The sequence below is a fragment of the Homo sapiens genome, chromosome 10 (genome assembly GCF_000001405.40).
Source record: "Homo sapiens chromosome 10, GRCh38.p14 Primary Assembly".
Lineage (NCBI taxonomy): Eukaryota > Metazoa > Chordata > Mammalia > Primates > Hominidae > Homo > Homo sapiens.
The window spans coordinates 132,562,820-132,581,457 of record NC_000010.11 but is presented as its reverse complement, the minus strand read 5'-3'; the positions used below and the strand labels follow the sequence as shown (position 1 = coordinate 132,581,457).

General features: G+C 52.2%; 1 protein-coding gene across 6 annotated transcripts in view, besides 11 other annotated features; it reads right to left on the bottom strand.

Moving 5' to 3' along the window:
* The window catches only part of INPP5A (inositol polyphosphate-5-phosphatase A), a 245,694-nt gene that overhangs the window by 202,023 nt on the left and 25,033 nt on the right, over positions 1-18,638 (bottom strand). The window lies entirely within an intron of this gene.
* Positions 4,965-5,733: an enhancer, noted in NCBI's record as "H3K4me1 hESC enhancer chr10:134389229-134389997 (GRCh37/hg19 assembly coordinates)". NCBI's record gives its function as "activates a minimal SCP1, AML or CMV promoter by ChIP-STARR-seq in naive H9 embryonic stem cells {active_cell/tissue: H9 hESC(naive)}" and the evidence as "EXISTENCE:reporter gene assay evidence [ECO:0000049][PMID:30033119]".
* Positions 5,281-5,340: an enhancer, noted in NCBI's record as "active region_4233". NCBI's record gives its function as "activates an Ori minimal core promoter by ATAC-STARR-seq in GM12878 lymphoblastoid cells {active_cell/tissue: GM12878}" and the evidence as "EXISTENCE:reporter gene assay evidence [ECO:0000049][PMID:35858748]".
* Positions 5,734-6,503: an enhancer, noted in NCBI's record as "H3K4me1 hESC enhancer chr10:134388459-134389228 (GRCh37/hg19 assembly coordinates)". NCBI's record gives its function as "activates a minimal SCP1, AML or CMV promoter by ChIP-STARR-seq in naive H9 embryonic stem cells {active_cell/tissue: H9 hESC(naive)}" and the evidence as "EXISTENCE:reporter gene assay evidence [ECO:0000049][PMID:30033119]".
* Positions 6,504-7,273: an enhancer, noted in NCBI's record as "H3K4me1 hESC enhancer chr10:134387689-134388458 (GRCh37/hg19 assembly coordinates)". NCBI's record gives its function as "activates a minimal SCP1, AML or CMV promoter by ChIP-STARR-seq in primed H9 embryonic stem cells {active_cell/tissue: H9 hESC(primed)}" and the evidence as "EXISTENCE:reporter gene assay evidence [ECO:0000049][PMID:30033119]".
* Positions 7,274-8,043: an enhancer, noted in NCBI's record as "H3K4me1 hESC enhancer chr10:134386919-134387688 (GRCh37/hg19 assembly coordinates)". NCBI's record gives its function as "activates a minimal SCP1, AML or CMV promoter by ChIP-STARR-seq in primed H9 embryonic stem cells {active_cell/tissue: H9 hESC(primed)}" and the evidence as "EXISTENCE:reporter gene assay evidence [ECO:0000049][PMID:30033119]".
* Positions 8,044-8,812: an enhancer, noted in NCBI's record as "H3K27ac-H3K4me1 hESC enhancer chr10:134386150-134386918 (GRCh37/hg19 assembly coordinates)". NCBI's record gives its function as "activates a minimal SCP1, AML or CMV promoter by ChIP-STARR-seq in primed H9 embryonic stem cells {active_cell/tissue: H9 hESC(primed)}" and the evidence as "EXISTENCE:reporter gene assay evidence [ECO:0000049][PMID:30033119]".
* Positions 8,813-9,582: an enhancer, noted in NCBI's record as "H3K27ac-H3K4me1 hESC enhancer chr10:134385380-134386149 (GRCh37/hg19 assembly coordinates)". NCBI's record gives its function as "activates a minimal SCP1, AML or CMV promoter by ChIP-STARR-seq in primed H9 embryonic stem cells {active_cell/tissue: H9 hESC(primed)}" and the evidence as "EXISTENCE:reporter gene assay evidence [ECO:0000049][PMID:30033119]".
* Positions 9,033-9,082: an enhancer, noted in NCBI's record as "active region_4232". NCBI's record gives its function as "activates an Ori minimal core promoter by ATAC-STARR-seq in GM12878 lymphoblastoid cells {active_cell/tissue: GM12878}" and the evidence as "EXISTENCE:reporter gene assay evidence [ECO:0000049][PMID:35858748]".
* Positions 9,093-9,242: an enhancer, noted in NCBI's record as "active region_4231". NCBI's record gives its function as "activates an Ori minimal core promoter by ATAC-STARR-seq in GM12878 lymphoblastoid cells {active_cell/tissue: GM12878}" and the evidence as "EXISTENCE:reporter gene assay evidence [ECO:0000049][PMID:35858748]".
* Positions 9,743-9,882: an enhancer, noted in NCBI's record as "active region_4230". NCBI's record gives its function as "activates an Ori minimal core promoter by ATAC-STARR-seq in GM12878 lymphoblastoid cells {active_cell/tissue: GM12878}" and the evidence as "EXISTENCE:reporter gene assay evidence [ECO:0000049][PMID:35858748]".
* Positions 10,352-11,122: an enhancer, noted in NCBI's record as "H3K27ac-H3K4me1 hESC enhancer chr10:134383840-134384610 (GRCh37/hg19 assembly coordinates)". NCBI's record gives its function as "activates a minimal SCP1, AML or CMV promoter by ChIP-STARR-seq in primed H9 embryonic stem cells {active_cell/tissue: H9 hESC(primed)}" and the evidence as "EXISTENCE:reporter gene assay evidence [ECO:0000049][PMID:30033119]".

Here is an 18,638-nt window from a genome sequence, read left to right as displayed (position 1 = left end):
GATAAAACTAAATGCACATCTACTCCAGGACATTGCCACTTCACTCCTAGGTAGAATTGCCTAAGAAAATAAAAATAGATGTTCACAAAAAATGTGTACAAGAATGTTCATAGAGTCTTTGCTCATCATAATTAAAACATGCTATCATTGTAAGTTTCCTGAGGCCGGACAGGAAACTCCTGTCGACAGGAGAACAGCTAAATGTGCTATGGCATAGTCATACACTCCCACAAAGGACTACTATTCAGCCATGAAAAGGAACAAACCTCTGGTTCGGAGAAGAATATGGACCCATCTCAAAAATGTCTGGCAAGAGACTGAAGCCATATGGAGAGAGGGCATCTGTGAATGTGGCGTCCTCCGACAGGCGAAGCTACGTGAGGGAAAACCCACAAGAGCCACCTCCCTGGGAGGGCCAGGGAAAGGTATGGGGGAGGGGTCTTGGGTGATGGTCAAGCTTTGTGTTTGTTTTGATAACAATTTTGGTTAAACAGACACGTCAAAACTCAGCAAATGTGTACTTAGGATCTGTATATTTTGCTGTGTATAATTTTTATGTCAAAAGAAAAACATTAAATACTGAGCTCTAGCTAGTGATATTCACACAGAAGCATTTGGGGGAAGTATGCTGATGTCAGCAATTTACCTGGAAATGCATCAAAATCAACAATGACTGATGGACAGAGGAAAATGTGCTAAAACAAGTAGAGTAAAACATTAATGATAGAATCTAAGTGGCAGATAAACAAGTGTTAGCTATAAAATTCTTTCAGCCTTGTAAGTCAAAATTTTTATAAAACAATCTCACATGTGTCTTTAAGAATCAAAAATAAAAGGGCTGAAGTTGATGATCTCTAGGGCCCTTCCTGTGACTCTTTCCCCTAAGCATGGCCAATTCCAGGACAGTATTAGTCCGTTCTCACACTGCCATGAAGACTTACCTGAGACTGGTAATTCATGGAGAATAGAGGTTGCACTGACTCACAGTTCCACAGTCTGTACAGGAAACATGGCTGGGAGGCCTCAGAAAACTTACAATCATGGCGGAAGGTGAAGAAGAAGAAAGCACGCCTTACCATGGTGGAGCAGGAGATAGAGTGTGAAAGGGGAAGTGCCACACACTTTTAAACAACCAGATCTCACAAGAACTCACTCACTATCACGAGAAATCGGCCCCCAGGATCCAATCACCTCCCACCAGGTCCCTCCCCCAACACTGGGGTTACAATTTGACGTGAGATTTGGGTGGGGACACAGAGCCAAACCATATCAGGGACCCAGCAGGCTTTCTTTTCCTTCTTAAACAGAACCCACTGCAAGTTGCCAAATAATTCTACTCTCAAGCCACCCAGATGCAGCCCCTGGAACCTTCTGGGCAGATTATTCAATGAAAACTCAGCCCTGGGAGCTGCCAGCAAAGCCCCTGCCAGCAGTGGGAGGAAGGTGGGCCACAACCCGGGGGCAGACTCCACTCCAGTATCGGGAGTGGACCAGCCTAGGCAAGATAGCAAGACTCCATCTCTACAAAAAAAAAAAAAACTTTTAAACAGGCAAGGCATGGTGGCTGAGCTTCAGGTTTGCAAAAGGGGAGCACCAAGAACCAGGCGCCACGGAGAGGCAGGTGGATGACGAAGCAGGGGTCAGACGAAAATAGGGCCCTGTGAATTAAAAACCTGCTCAATCTTCCGGGCTTCTCCTCTCCTTCACCCCATCAATCGCTATGGGAGGCCAGCCCTGGGCAGCACCAGAGTATCATCTCCCAGCCTCACTGAGGCCCCACCTACAGCAAAGGGACAGGGCAGGATGGCCGGGGAAGCAGGCCCCACCACCGCAGGGCAAGGCTGGAGCCAGCCGCAGAAGCACAGAGCTTCTGGAGAATGGAGCTCACCCTTCTAGTGTCCCTGGCCCACAGCAAGCATCAGCCCAGTTCATCCTCACACAGACCATTGGGATGCCCAGAGTCCACTCCTTGGCTCCGGCCCCCTCTCTGCCCCTTCCCTGCCCTGCACAATCCCACACCCCTACTGCTCCCACCAGAGCCACCGGTGCAGCTGCTTTCACCACAGTACTGGGGCGGGGGGACTCAAAAGGAGGAAAACGGAGTTCATGCCCTCACTTCCCAACAGGTACGCCTCACTCAGGGGCACGACAGCCACCCACAGCTGCAGCCCCAGACACCAGGAGCCCCACTCGCCACCCCGCCCCGCGGTCCCCTCCGTCACCGGCCCACAGGCTCCACCTCCCCCCACACTCTCCTTCCCCCGCCTCCAGCTAGCCCAGCTTGGAGCCCGCAACCGGCGCGGCTCTGCCTCCCTGCCACTCAGAAGCCCAGCTCATTTCACAGCTGCCCGGCACGCACCAGCCTTGAGCCACACAAAGGGGCATCAGGCCCCTTCCTACATCACCGCAACAAGTTCAACCATACAGGTGTGGAAACCGAGGCACAAGAGGACGAGCAGCTTCCCTAGGGCCAATGAGAGGCAGCTCCAGCACTTAAACCCAGAGCCTGTGAGGCCCGACCTCTACCCTGCACCACAGAAGGCAGGCGGACTGAGCACCTCTGCAGTGCCTGCCACCCTCCCTAAGACTACGGCCGCAGCCCCTCTGCTGGCACCCCCTCCAGCCACCATGCCATTCCCTGGGGCTGCCCACCGTCGAGAGTCTCCTCTCCTCTCCTGGAGCCCAGACCCAGCCCCTGCACACTCTCCTGGTGTCCTGGAGCCTGGACCCAGCCTCCACATACTCTTCTGGGTGTCCTGGAGCTCGGACCCAGCCCCCACATACTCTCCTCCCCTGAAGCCCAGACCCAGCCCCCGCACACTCTCCTGGGTGAGACGCCCCACACACTCTCCTGACAGAGCCCCTCCAGCCCCCGCACACTCTCCTGACAGAGCCCCTCCAGTCCCCGCACACTCTCCTGGATGAGACTCCCCGCACACTCTCCTGACAGAGCCCCTCCAGCCCCCGCACACTCTCCTGACAGAGCTGCTCCAGTGCAAGGTCTTGCTCACCTTCACCTGCCGGGGACTGGCACGGGGGCGGCATGCAGAGTGGGCACTGAATGCCGGCCGAGGTGCTCCACATGCACCCAGTGGAGAGAACCAGGGTCTTTGATAAGGCTCGGGCTTGTGCTACAAAGATCCCCATAGACAGAGCACCACACAGCCACAGGGGCAGAGGTGGAGCGCCTGGACCCTTGAACCTTCAATGCCCAGATTTATATGGCACTGAGCTAAAACCAGACACAAAAAAGGAGAGGGTTCATTTTTATTGCTGTCAAATCAAAGTTCTGCAACACTTTCTGTAGAGAGCATAATAATCTCCCAATGGTGAAATAACTTCCCCTCACACGTTAATTTTAGAATCCTGGTTTACTTCATTCAATGCAGTTCAATACTGAGCCTAATCTCAAAACAAATTTTGAGTGAGGCCAAATTGCTGACATTTAGCAAACATGCCTACAACTAAAATAACCCAAGAAATACCAGTGTCACGGCTGTCCAGCTGCCAGCTTCATGGAGCACCCCCAAATGGCACAGCTGAACCCCTCGAGGACAGGGAGCCCACACTCCCTTCTCAAACCAGGAGTCTGACGGCTGCCGAGTAACCAACGAGGCTGGAACCGAGAGCAGCGCCCATGGGCGAGAGAGGCTGCTGTCCAGTGACCAGGAGAGGTCACTAGGAGGCCACGAACCACCGCTGCCCACAACACCCAATGCCTCCCTGAGACAGGCATGCTGGCTGCACTTTCCCACCTCATCCATCTCCTCAGGGGCCCTCCTGTCCTTCCTTTGGGTCTCAGTGTCACCTCCAAGGGTCTCAATGTCACCTCCAAGGGTCCCTATGTCACCTCTAAGAGCTGCCACTTTCCACCTGACCCCATGGGGGGCTCAGGCCCCTCCCTGATGGCCACCAAAACAGGGGCCACCAAAAGATGGGCCTCAAGACAGCAGGGGCCCACTGTTTTCATGGCCATGTCCCGTTCCCTGGCCCGGGGCCGGGCATGCGCAGCCCGAGATAAACGTGTGAACAAAAATCACAGATACAGGAATGCCACCTGTAGGATGCCAGGTACCCCACCACCTTTTGACCCCATATCTCCTGTGTAAACTTAACTCAGATACCAACTAGGATATGCAGGCCGGCTTGGAGGATGATCAGAGTCCCGTCCTGAAATGCTCAGGAGCAGACACTGCAACAGAACGTGATGCACCACGGGCGGCGTGCCGGGGGGGAGCAACCCACCTGCACTCAGGGCACCACGACCCAGTCTTTGCCTTCCAGCTTCTCTCCAGGTGCAGCGGCCCTGCCTGGGGGTCCCTCTGCCCCCTCCACTCCTGGCCCCTTCATTCTGCTGAGCCTCAGCCAAAACCCCTTCCCCACAGTCCTGCCACCTTTCAGAGGTCCCTCAGAGTTTTCTGGAGCCCAGCACAAGCCCTCTCCCCATGGGTCAGAGGCACCACAGGTGCGTTCAAACCGTGGCACTCAGCCCACCACTGGGCTCACAGCAATTCAGCGGGTGTGACCAGCATTCTGGGAACAGGGCAGACACCGGCAGAGCACATCCTGGTGGCCCTCGTCAGTCTCACTCTAAAACCCGGGTTCTGGGGTGTGAGTCTGGGTGCGACCCTCGGCTCCCCATCCCAGCTGGGGACTCTCCCAGGGTCTGTGGCCGGTCAGCACAGGCAAGACGCTGGGTGCATCAGAGATCTGCTTAATTCAGAAGGTAAAATGAGGTGACAACCATTTATTTAAGAAGGTAAACATTTAATGCTTGAAAGTAACATATGCAAGTTTGTATTCCAAGATCATTTAGAACACTCTCGTTTGCATCCTGTTAGCTGGTTGGGAAAAAAGGTAATGAATGATATCATGTGCAGTTTAGGCCCCAGAGAGGGTGGATGCAGTGGGGGACGCACACTGGGGACAGGAGCAGAGGACCCCTCCCAGCTGCAAGGCCTCAGGGAGCCACCACAGCCCAGAGCCCAAGGCTAGATTCTCTCCCTCTTTCCATCCAGGGCCAGGACTGTGTGGAGAACCCACTAGAACCTGCAGCCCCACACCTGAAAGGAAAACCCGCTCGGGGTGCCACCCAGCACCTGTCCAAGCCCGCATTCTGAACCTCTCCATACTCTCCTCTCCCTGCAGACAGGAGCTGTGCTGTGAGCCTCAGGAAGCAGACAGAGAAGTGCTGTCCTGGGGGCAGGAGGGGCACACCAGCACCTCCCACCTCTGGCAAGAGGGCTGGAGAGGAGCAGAGCCACAGCCCCGGACCACGGCTCCCTCACCTGGCCTCAACCTGGAGCCTGACCTGCACAGGGAGGGCCCAGGGCTGGGCCGTGATCTCAGAGGCTCAGCACACACACTGGCAGGGAAGGGCAGAGTCTGGTCACCAAGGAGCTACAGCAGCCCAGTGGGTAGCTGCAGGTCAGGTGGCATCTGTGGTGGAGGGATGTGGGCAGGGGGCAGTGGGTGAAATCATTTCCCCAGAAAGTACTCGTGGTTCAGGAGGAGAGGGGAGCCACCAGCTCCACAGTCCACAAGAGCCGCGATGTCAGTGGCATCAAGCAGGTCCTTTGGCAGGGAGTGTGAGAAGCAAACAATCATAAAGAAAGAAAACAGCCACAGAGCAGGCGGTGTCACTAGGGGACCACACACTCCCCACTGCCAGGGCCCTGGGCCGCACACACCACGCGGGAGCCCACGGCCAGAGGGACACAGGGAACCGGGGAAAGGCTGTCCTGAGGGCCAGGCGCTGAGGCGTCAGGAGTTCCTTGTCTAAGCTGGTGCAGGATTCCTCCTCGCCAAGATAAACACTGTTTACGGATTTCAAATAAACGCACTTCCACAGAGAAGCCAAGAAATAACTGGCTCCGCTGCTTGTGGTTGGGTTAGGGAAGTAGGATAGTGCTCATTGCTTTCCCCTTTTCACCAGTTTCCAAATGATTGTGAATGTGGTTAGATCGGTTTGGTTACTAATTTTATGATGTTTAACCAGACTGACAGTGACGTGCAGGCCCCTGTGGTGCCTGGTGCCTCAGCCTGTACTCCCCTCCCATCCTGACCCTGTGAGCTGCGGGGGGCTGGGAGCAGGCTAGCCACATGTCAGTTCTGCACAAGCCTTTCTGGGAGCTACACATCAGGTAAGAGGACCAATCCCTCCCTCAGGCAGAAACCAGGTGTCGTCCAAATGCCAAAAGCAGGCAGACATCAGGCGGCCGCCCTTCAGCACACAGGTCAGGGTTGCGATGTGTCCAGGCCGGTGCAAACGCCAGCCTGCGGAGGAAGAATGCAGCATTCAACAGAGTCCCAGCGGCTGGACAGGGAGCCTGAAGGCTGGGTCACCTGTCACCTGTCACCCTGTGGACCTGGCATCATGTGTTTTCCACGGACACCCCGAATCCGGAGCCCCCGGGAGGACTCCGCAGACCATATGCTGAGGTGTGCTTTGCGTTTCTATCGTCAGGTGGGCTGCAGGCTTCCAGGCTAGACAGCTCCTTACCACCAGAAGTCCGTGCCTACCAGCTGCCTCACGCCCCAAGGCCCAGCAACAAGGACAAGCACCTCCCCAGAGCTTCCGGAAGGCTCTCACAGAAACCACATTCCAGGCCTTTTAAAACGAAAAACACCCCCCAGCTACTCCAGAGGCTGAGGCAGGAAAATGGCTTGAACCCAGGAGGCAGAGGTTGCAGTGAGCCAAGATCCCACGACTGCACTCCAGCCTGGGCAACAGAGCGAGACTCTGTCTCAAAAAAAAAAAATACTGAGACCCCATCTCTACAAAAAATAAAATAAAATAAAATAAAATAAAATAAAATAAAATAAAATACAAAATTAAAAAAAAAAGAAAAAAAAGAGAAAAACACCCTCCCTAAGACCTCTGTTCACCCCTCCCTGTGTGAGGCCCAGGAGGCATCAGTAAACAGAAACAAGGCCGGCCCTCACACAGCAGGTACACCCCAACATCTCAACAAAACCTCACACAGGACACACACCCAACATCGCAACAAAACCTCACACGGCACACACACCCCAACATCTCAACAAAACCTCACACAGGACACACACCCCAACATCTCAACAAAACCTCACACGGCACGCACATCCCAACATCTCAACAAAACCTCCCACGGCACGTACAACCCAAAATCTCAACAAAACCTCCCACGGCACGCACACCCCAACATCTCAACAAAACCTCCCACGGCACGCACACCCCAACATCTCAACAAAACCTCCCACGGCACGCACACCCCAACATCTCAACAAAACCTCCCACGGCACGCACACCCCAACATCTCAACAAAACCTCCCACGGCACGCACACCCCAACATCTCAACAAAACCTCCCACGGCACGCACACCCCAACATCTCAACAAAACCTCCCACGGCACGCACACCCCAACATCTCAACAAAACCTCCCACGGCACGTACACCCCAACATCTCAACAAAACCTCCCACGGCACGTACACCCCAACATCTCAACAAAACCTCACACGGCACACACACCTCAACATCAACAAAACCTCACACAGCACACACACCTCAACATCAACAAAACCTCACACGGCACACACACCCCAACATCTCAACAAAACCTCACACAGCACACACACCCCAACATCTCAACAAAACCTCACACGGCACACACACCTCAACATCAACAAAACCTCACACGGCACACACACCCCAACATCTCAACAAAACCTCACACGGCACGCACACCCCAACATCTCAACAAAACCTCACACGGCACGTACACCCCAACATCTCAACAAAACCTCACACGGCACGCACACCCCAACATCTCAACAAAACCTCACACGGCACGCACACCCCAACATCTCAACAAAACCTCACACGGCACACACACCCCAACATCTCAACAAAACCTCCCACAGCACACACAACCCAACATCAACAAAACCTCACACAGCACACACACCCCAACATCTCAACAAAACCTCACACGGCACGTACACCCCAACATCTCAACAAAACCTCACACGGCACGTACACCCCAACATCTCAACAAAACCTCACACGGCACGCACACCCCAACATCTCAACAAAACCTCACACGGCACACACACCTCAACATCAACAAAACCTCACACAGCACACACACCCCAACATCTCAACAAAACCTCACACAGCACACACACCCCAACATCAACAAAACCTCACACAGCACACACACCTCAACATCAACAAAACCTCACACAGCACACACACCCCAACATCTCAATAAAACCTCACACGGCACGTACACCCCAACATCGCAACAAAACCTCACACGGCACACACACCCCAACATCTCAACAAAACCTCACACGGCACACACACCTCAACATCAACAAAACCTCACACAGCACACACACCCCAACATCTCAACAAAACCTCACACGGCACGTACACCCCAACATCGCAACAAAACCTCACACGGCACGCACACCCCAACATCTCAACAAAACCTCACACGGCACGTACACCCCAACATCTCAACAAAACCTCAGTATCTACAAAAAGTAGCTGTGTATGAAATAAACCGAGCTGATGTTTCTTTAAACAAGTTCTTTCAATGGGATTCCAGAGGCCCAGGTCTTGCATTTCAGCAATCAGCAGAGCAAGGGAAACACTCCAAGGCACGCTGCAGACAGACGCCCAGCAGAGGCAGGGCCAGAAGCAACACCAGGTTAAGTGGCACAAACTTTCCCTCAGCAACAGTGTCCTCTGAATCCTGTCCTGTTATAAACGCTACCGAGTAAAGCCAGAACAAGCACACTAGCCCATTACCAGGACTAGAGCATGAGAACCAGCAGTACCAAAAACACTTCCCAAGGGCTAGACACATGAAAAAGAGCAAACGGCACATCCCCACCAAGAGCCCTGGGTCACGCTGCTTCACAGGGAAAGCAGCCCTGGGCAGCCTCAGCATCCCTCCCAGGGAAAGCAGCCCCGGGCGGGCGTGCTCAGCATCCCCCTCCCCCAGGACAGCACCAGCACAGCCCTACGAAAGGCCCCACCCCCAGAAACCACGACTCCTCCCAGGCAAGCTGTGCAGCTCAGGCACCTCCCTGCAAAACAGAAGCTCAGGGAAGGCCTCTGGTCCAGGTGAGGGGCCCCACACCAGGGGCATCTTGCCACCAGGGGCATCTTGCCACCAGGGGCATCTTGCCAGCTGAGAAACTCCGACATTCTTCTGAAGGCCCCCCCATGGGCCACAGGCGTTTTCCTCTGAGTATCACAATGGTCCCTCCGGCCAGCCTCTCGGCACACCTGGGCCAATACCCTGTGGGTTTCCGGCCAGGCTCTTGGATGAGTCACCTTTTCCTAGACTATCTGCGGTGCCAGACATGAGCTGTCAAATCCCCAGTGTGTAAGTCCCAAGAGGGCTCTGCAGGCTCGTCCTGTGCTGCATGCTACTCAGCAGGCCTGAGTCTCTTCTAGTCAGGAGGGACCACAGGAAACAGTGAGACAGAGGGGCACAGCAGTGGGGGACAGAGGTGGTGGTCAGGGTGCGGCCCACTCTGCCTCTAGCCCAGTCGGTCGTTAACAAGCTCAGATGCCAGAGCCAGCCCCAGCTCAGTTCACACCCTGCCCCCTCCACCTGCTACCGCAGGGCCTCACACTGGCTGCTCACTCGCTAGCCCCTGTCTTTCCATCTGTGCAATGGAGCAACACAGCACAGGCATCAGGGCTGTGGAGATGATAGGTCTCCCTTCAGACACTCGAGGTCCTTACAGCACGCACGTCAGGGCTGCGGGGATGACAGGTCTGCCTGCAGACACTCCGGGTCCTTACGGCACAAACGTCAGGGCTGACATACCTAGAGACACACCACATCCTTACAGCACTATCTGGCACATAAAGGACATAAATATCAGCTGCACTTTTTTTAAATTTAGCTAAGCTCCTTAATAGCTCTGTGTAGTCCAAAGTTGGTGGTTTTGATTATCAGTGGTCCTGAGTGACCCAGAACCACACACAGCGGCAGGAGCTGGGCCTCTGTGTTCACCCAAAGGGAACTGAAAGAAGCCCTTCCCCGCAGCTGGGGAGGACAAGGCCCAGACAGGCCCATGTGGCAGAGCCCGGCGTGCCAGCAGAGAGGGTAGGCAGGTCCCAGCAGTGTGATGAGGGATGGGTGTGTCCTTGCGCCAATGGCCCTCCTCCTCTGCTCGGCAGGAGCCTCTGGCCTCGCTGCTTTGCTAGGCGATCTCTCCTTTTCTCCCTCTTGCTGTTCACCTCATTCAGCAAAAGGCACCTGCCTCATGCTGCATTCCCAGGTAGCTGCTGTCAGGGCCAGGGAAGGTGTCCAAAGGGCCCAGGGCGGAGCCCACGGTGAGGAGGGCCCAGCAGGTGGGCGTGCACTGTGCCCAGCTGGACCTGGCCAGGCAGCAGGAGGGGTTTGGAGAATGTTCCAACGCCCCGAACCCACGGGAGTAGGCTGTGGTGGGGAGGGAGTGCCTCGTTTTCATCCCTCAGCCCCCACCCACCAGGAGAGCCAGGCAGGCTGCTGCCGTGTGATGCGCCGCTGTGCCGATGAGAGGCGACCTGAGAGCAGCAGCGGCCGGAAGGACGGCCCTCTATCCACATCGCAGCACGAAGCTCACTGGCACAGAACACCCCCACCTCCTGCTGTCCTGGCAGCCCAGAAACACCCAGCACCAGCCAGTCACCCAGAAGTGTCACCACCGTATGGGTGTCCCCAGCCACCACTTCCAAATGGCTCAGTTGGTCCCTTGGTTTTATTGTTGGTGCACTGGAATTCTTACAAAAAAAAAAAAGTGTTTTGGTACTTAGAAACACAAGAGCTGAAAACGAAATATTCAAAGCAAACACCCACAATGAAGATTCAGTGGCCAAGTTGCCCAGTTCTCCCATGAGTCTGTGTGTGGTCAGCACCAGCAGCAGCACCAGGCCAGCGGGGGTTCAAGGACCCAGTGACAGCTAGAGAAGCCTTGCCACCCCTTTCTCCCCTCCCCAGACAGGATCGCAGAGGGACTCCACATACCTCGTCGGAAGGAAAACCCTCCAGCTCCACCCGAACTCCTCCCGCTTCCCAGGGCCAGAGATGAAACTGATGGATACGAAGGTGCCCACGGGGCATCCACAGAAGGGCTACAGTTAACAGTGAGCCCAAATGGTCATCTGGTTCTATGAGAGCTCACAGCTCAAGGCAAACGTGCAGTCACCAACAAGAAAATATCAGCAGAGCGCAGGCTCACACCTGTAATCCCAGCACTTTGGGAGGCTGAGGCGAGTGGATCACCTGAGGTCAGGAGTTTGAGACCAGCCTGGCCAATAAGGCGAAACCCCGTCTCTACTAAAAATTCAATTAAAAAAAACAGTGGGGGCCCAGCGCGGTGGCTCACGCCTGTAATCTCAGCACTTTGGGAGACTGAGGTGAGTGGATCACCTGAGGTCAGGAGTTCGAGACCAGCCTGGCCAATATGGTGAAACCCCATCTCTACTAAAAATGCAATTTAAAAAAAACAGTGGGGGCCCAGTGCGGTGGCTCACACCTGTAATCCCAGCACTTTGGGAGGCCGAGGTGAGTGGATCACCTGAGGTCAGGAGTTTGAGACCAGCCTGGCCAATATGGTGAAACCCCATCTCTACTAAAAATTCAATTAAAAAAAAACAGTGGGGGCCCAGTGCGGTGGCTCACACCTGTAATCACAGCACTTTGGGAGGCTGAGGCGAGTGGATCACCTGAGGTCAGGAGTTCGAGACCAGCCTGGCCAATATGGCGAAACCCCATCTCTACTAAAAATTTAATTAAAAAAAACAGTGGGGACCCAGCGAGGTGGCTCACGCCTGTAATCCCAGCACTTTGGGAGGCTGAGGCAGAGAATCGCTTGCACTCAGGAGTTCGAGACCAGCCTGGGCAACATACTGAGACCCCGTCTCTACAAAAAATAAACAAAATTAGGCGGTCATGGTGGCACATTCCTGTAAACCCAGCTACTCAGGGGGCTGAGTTGGGAGGATCCCTTGAGCCTGGGAGGGAGGTGGAGGCTGCAGTGAGCATTGATCCCACCACTGCACTCCAGCCTATGCAACAGGGCGAGACCCTGTCTCAAAGAAACCAAAAACAAACTAACAAAAAAACAAGCAAAATGCAGAAACATTTACAAGACCATGTCAGCTTCATATTAACAGAAGAAACCATGTGAGATAAAATTTTTATTATTTTTAACCAAAAAGAATTGACAATCCAAAAGAAAAACATGTAGAAAGTATAAGAACTTAACACTCTCTGCTGTATGGTGAGAATTAATCAGATGCTCAATGTTTAAAATAATTTCAAAAAAAGAATACCAGTAAGACCAACATGGAGAAACCCTGTCTCTACTAAAAATACAAAAATTAGACAGGCATGGTGGAACATGCCTGTAATCCCAGCTACTCGAGAGGCTGAGGCAGGAGAATCGCTCGAATCCAAGAGGCGGAGGTTGTGGTGAGCCGAGATCGTGCCATCGCACTCCAGCCTGGGTGACCGAGCGAGATTCCGTCTCAAAAAAAAAAAAAAAAAAAAAATGCCGGTAAGAACATATTGTGATCTATGTTGCCTTGCTCTTTGCAAATATATGTAGTAAACTTACATAGTTTTGACAATACAATTTCTGTACTTATTCACTAAGCTTCAATTGTCTCAAAAAAATTCTTTTTTGTGTTTTGTTTTGTTTTGTTTGAGACAGAGTTTCACTCTTGTCGCCCAGGCTGGAATGCAATAGTGCAATCTCGGCTCACTGGAACCTCCACCTCCTGGGTTCAAGCCATTCTCCTCCCTCAGTCTCCTGAGTGGCTGATATTACGGGTGCCCAACACCACGGATGGCTAATTTTTTTTTTTTTGTATTTTTAGTAGAGATGGGGTTTTACCACATTGGCCAGGCTGGTCTCAAGCTCCTGACCTCAGGTGATCCACCCACCTCAGCCTCCCAATTACCAGCCTCCCAGTAATCCCAGTAGCTGGGATTACAGGCGTGAGCCACTGTGCCCAGGCCACAAAAATTCTTAATTTACAAATGGAAAACTTGAGGCTTTAATTGAAGGCAGCTTAATAATTCTGTTATCTCATGGAGCCATTAAGGGCAACTTTTGAAATATTAAAACAAACTTCGCTATCGATACACATGGAAATGGCTTCCAGAGAAACACATAGGAACCCTTAGCCGGGTCCTCCACAGGTGGTACCAGGTGAACACCAGGAAAAATGTCTGGTGTTTCAGCCAATTTTTTTTTTTTTTTTTTTTTTTTGAGACGGAGTCTTGCTCTGTCACCAGGCTGGAGAGCAGTGGCTCGATCTCAGCTCACCGTAACCTCCACCTCCTAGGTTCAAGCAATTCTCCTGCCTCAGCCTCCTGAGTAGCTGGGACTACAGGCACGCACCACCACACCCAGCTAATTTTTGTATTTTCAGTAGAGACGGGGTTTCACTATGTTGGCCAGGATGGTCTTGATCTCTTGACCTCATGATCCGCCCGCCTCGGCCTCCTAAAGTGCTGGGGTTACAGGCGTGAGCCACCGCGCCCGGCCTCAGCCAATATTTTTTTTTAATTTTTTGCCAGATGTGGTAATTAAGCACTAAGTTATATGATCATTCAAAAAGGAAAGCATATAATTCAGTATAATTCACATTAAATCTTTTCTGAATAAGCTTTATATGTAGAGAACATTAAATATGTTTTAAATAACCAGATATTGGAATAAAAAGCTGGAATCGTTGGACTTCAGGCCACAGGGGCAAAAGCAGCTTTGGAAATCAGACCGAGCCCCGCATCTTCACCACAGACACGTTTACATGGAGCGGAAAAGGGAGGTGGGTGGAAAAACTGGTAAAACCCAAATAAAGCCTGTAGTTTGGTCAACAGTAGTGTCCCGTGTTACCATCCTGGCTCTGACAAACGAAGCATGGTTATTTACGATGTTCCTATCAGGGGAAACATAGGAACCAAACCTAAAATTATTCACCATACAAAGGTTTTTAAAAGTTGCCCAAGGGGCTGCGCCCAGCAGCTCACACCTGTAATCCCAGCATTCTGGGAGGCCGAGAAGGGAGAAGTGCTTGAGCCTAGGAGTTCAAGACCATCTTGGGGAACATAGTGAGCCCCCATCTCAAAAAATTAATAAATGAAATAAAAGTTGCCCAAGTAAAAGAGAGTTATTTTGTTTTGGTTGTTTGGGTATTTTTGCGTGCTTCCTTCCTGCTTCTGCAGAATGTGGGATGAGAATCTGACAGTGGCATCTGAGAAGGACGGTGTCACCTGCACAGGAGGGTGGCCGGATGGAGACAGGGGAAGAACTGGTTCCTGGTGACATCACTGAGCTGCTTGCCCACCCGGGAGCCTCCCTCCTCCAGACATTCCAGGGCAAATGACACCACCGTCCATGAGGGGTTCTGTTACTGCAGCCTACAGGAGCCGGACTAATACCCTGTGCCTCCTGAGAGATCAGAGCTCAAGATTAGCAACAGTTACTATTTCTCCATAAACCACTATTACAGGTTTTCAATAGATTCTCTTGTGTTTTCCAGATGCACAATCATATTTGCAAGTAACGTCTCTCCATTCTAGTATTCAATATTTACATTATTCTTTCTCTTGTTAAATTGTTAATTTCACTAGCTAGAGCTTCTGAAAGTATATTACACAACTGTGGTTACATGGGGTGTCTTGTCCCTGACACTAGTGGAAATGCCTGATTCTGTGTTTTAAAATTATATTATGGAAATACATGTTTTAATTTTATTAAGAATAATCATTTTTCAATCAAAAGTAGGCATTTAATATTAACAAATACATTTTCAGCATCTATCGAGATAACCTAACAAGGTTTCTTCTACTGATGAACTATTAACTTATGAAAACAGGGAATTACATCCCTCAACCTTTTGGAACATGAACTTATCCTTACGTTTCTAGTATGAACACATTGGATCGAGTTTATTTGCTATTGGGTCCTAAGCCGAGATGGTTTCACTCACAAGCAACAGCAAGACAACTGCACAGCTGTTTTCACGGTGCCACCTTCTGTCGGGCCTCCGTATCCCTGCATTTTCCTTCTGTCTGATAAGCTGGCTGGTTGAAAGGGAACTGGGGCCGGATGTTCCTCAACAGTTTGGTAGAATCCACTCTGGAAACACCTACATCTGGAGCTTTTTTGGGACAGCAACTTTGACAAGTCGATCAATCTTTTTAATTTTTTTCCTAATAACTGGTCAATTTAGTGTCTCCCTCTCTTCTGGAGTCAGTTTCATCATGCATACCTTGCATACATACCAATTTTTTCAAAAGTATTTGAACATCGTTGAGCAAATTAATGTCTTAAAACTGTTTTAAGTTTGACAGGTTTCCTTGGAGAACCAAGGACGACCACACATGTGGCCAGGTGTGAGTCACACCCAGAGAACACTCCTGAGGCTACAACGCCTCCCCGAGACCGACCACAGGGCTCTCTTGTCTACGACTGCTCCAGGCTACGAAATTGAGCAAAGTGGTCTTCACTCCTGCAAGACTCCACTGAAGGTACCTCCACACACAAGCCTCCAATTCAAAGAGACTCAAAACTAGGAGGAAATGGCACACACAAACACACACACACATTCACATACACACATGCACACATACATGCATACACAGAGACCCACACACACATACTCACACGCATTCACATACACACATGCACGGAGACCCACACACAACGGCGCACACACACACACACACACACAAACTCAGGCACACATTCACATACACATGCACTCACACAAACACACCCACACATAGACCCACATACACACATACACATATACATACATATACACACATACACACATGCACACACAGTGACATACATGCACAAATGCACATGCATACAGACATACGCACACATACATATATACACACACACAGGAAGGCTTTTGTCTTGCCTGTTTTAGACATCTGGGCCAAAAGGTAATGCCTCGGCCTGGATCTGTTCCACTGTCTAAACACACAAATCCAAAGCTATCTGGGAAGGTTGTGTTGAGGTGGGCCCATAAACTCCAAATACCTTACAAACTGTGCACATCAGGGAGTGTGTTGCCACAAACTATGGGGTTAAAAGTGACTGGATGAAAGTGCTTCAGAGAAGCCTTTGGCTTATTCCTTGAGTTGTTTAGGGTCAGACTTAAAACTGGCCAGGTGTGGTGGTGCATGCCTGTAATCCCAGCACTCAGGGAGACTGAGGCAGGAGGATCCCTTGTGCCCAGAAGGTCAAGGCTGCAGTAAGCCGTGACCATGCCATGCACACCAGCCTGGACAACAGAGCTGAGACCTTGACTCGAAAACAAAACAAAACAAAATTTTTTTAAGAATTAAAATAAATCTTTAGATATGTACCATCTCACTCTATAAAATACGCAGGGACATTCCAAACTCTCTATTCAGCACAAACGTCGTAAAGCAGCGCTGTGAATGGCTTGTTGGTGTTGGTACTGCTGCTGTGGGGAGCGGGGTGGCAGAGGCTCATACCAGGTGACCCAAGCACAGCCCAGAGCCCATGGGTGGAATTCTCACGGCCAGCACAGGCCCAGGCATACGGGGGCATGCAACAGACACGTGCTGCATGAATAAGGAGCCCCAGGTGACGCCATCCCACTGACCAGAACTCCCAGACCTCATAGAAGAGCCCATCTGCCACCAGGAGCTCCAAACAAGAGCTGGGCCCAGCGGCCACTGGCAGGGCCTGGGCACCCAAAAGTCACACTGCACACTCCCGTCTGCCCTGCACTCACTGCCATTTGGCAAGGTCTGTTTATTTTTAATAGTAAATTTTCATCCAGTTAAAATACACTCTTGTTATATAAACTTCTACTCCAATAACACTGAACTGTTGGAAACGACCCTCCATTGCCAGTGCTATTTTCACGGCCACCGACTCACAGTGAGCTGAGCCCTGGGCCGGTGACTCTGAGGAGGAGGAGGGGCCGCACAGCCCAGGGAGGCAGCCAGGGGCTCTGGGAGACCCTGGCTACCATGAAAAACCATTTGTCACTCACCCATTGAGCAGGTCAGGGCCTCCAAGCCCACCAGAGACGTGCTCACAACCCTCTTCAAGAAGCGCAGTCCCTGAATCGGGGTGGAGGGAGAAGTCCAACTCCTCCATAAGATCCGTAAGAGGTCCCCTGGGACCCTCGCCTTCCCTCCCCAGGATCATGTGTCACCCCAGGGACCAATCATGGTCTCCCCACTGATGGCGGTGGCCATACCCACAACGCGCACGCCACATTTCCCCAAACAAGCCGAGACAATGACAGCAACGAGCAGGACAAAAAATCGTGAGGTGAGAAGCCCAGGGGAGCAGCAGCAGGCTCCTGAACCAGCTGCTGAAACTGTCCTAACTGAGAAGGCATCCTCACACCTATCCTTTGTGGTTAAAAGATGCCGAAATGGCTTGGTGAGTTTGCAGACCACAGCCGCGGCCGGGCCTCTCGGTTCAGGTATGAACCAGGACGACTTTGCTCCCGCTCTGCCCTGACTCAGCCGCCAGGGCTCAGGGCTCAGAGTAGAGTGGACATGAGCCACCATGGAAGTGAATACGCCTCCCTGGCAACCGGCCCCCACTACAGGCGGCAAACCACCAAAGCAGTGAGAAGGCGAGTTATAAATCCCCCGGGGCTGTCTCACCAGCAAGCGCAAGGAAAACCAACAACCAATTTGCTTGTCGGGGTGAACTTATGGTGTGCTTTCCTTTCTTTCCTTTCCTTTCCTTTCTCTCCTTTCCTTTCCTTTCTCTCTTTCCTTTAATTTTTCTGTAGGACACCCACTCGCACTTCGTTTTTCAGCAGCAGTCCTGAGAGAGGAACCCTTTTGATTTTGAAGTTATTCAGTGTAACAGGCAGTAATGATGATCTTCCCAAACACACCTGCTATTTTCTGCTGCTTTTCCTACCCTGTATACATTCTAAATTCACCTAATAAGACATAAAGCAATAGGTTTTTGTGAACTCATGAAGATGACGGCGCTGCTGTTCACTGTCCTTGATTTAATCACAGCTGGTGCTCACATTTGCAGGACCCACATCCCCACAGAAAAGGCTCCCGCAGCACCCGGCAGACGCTGTGCTATCCACACCCCAGAGCAGAGCTCGGCCCCGGAGACCCCACTTCCCTAACAGATTGGCCAAGACCCTCAGCAATGCCAATGCCACCGCCAGCCCCCAGGGACTGTGAGGGTGTGCAGGGACCTGGCACTCAGCAGGACCCTGAGGCCAACTCACAGCCGCCAAGTGTGGCTGCTCCAGGGCCCAGCTCCACAGCCTGGAATCTGAACAGAATGTCAGTCTCTCCCAGCCCCTCCCCATCTGGTCTCCTCCAGCACCTCGCAGTCCCTCTGCCTGGGCGGGGGCATGGCACCTCCTCACCTCCTGCCAGTTCTGGCCCATGAGGGCACCTCCTCCCCGCGCCCTCCCCACAACCCTCCCTGAAGCCCTCTGCAGAGCAGCCGGCATGGCCAGGGAAGAGCATACAGGGAAGGGGGCACCAGGGAGCAGACAGGACCTGAGATACCAGAGCAGGGGAAGGAGGGCACCACCGCCCCGAGCCTGCGACTTCACAGAGCTCCAAGCTCAAGGCTCTGTCCCTCTCGAGG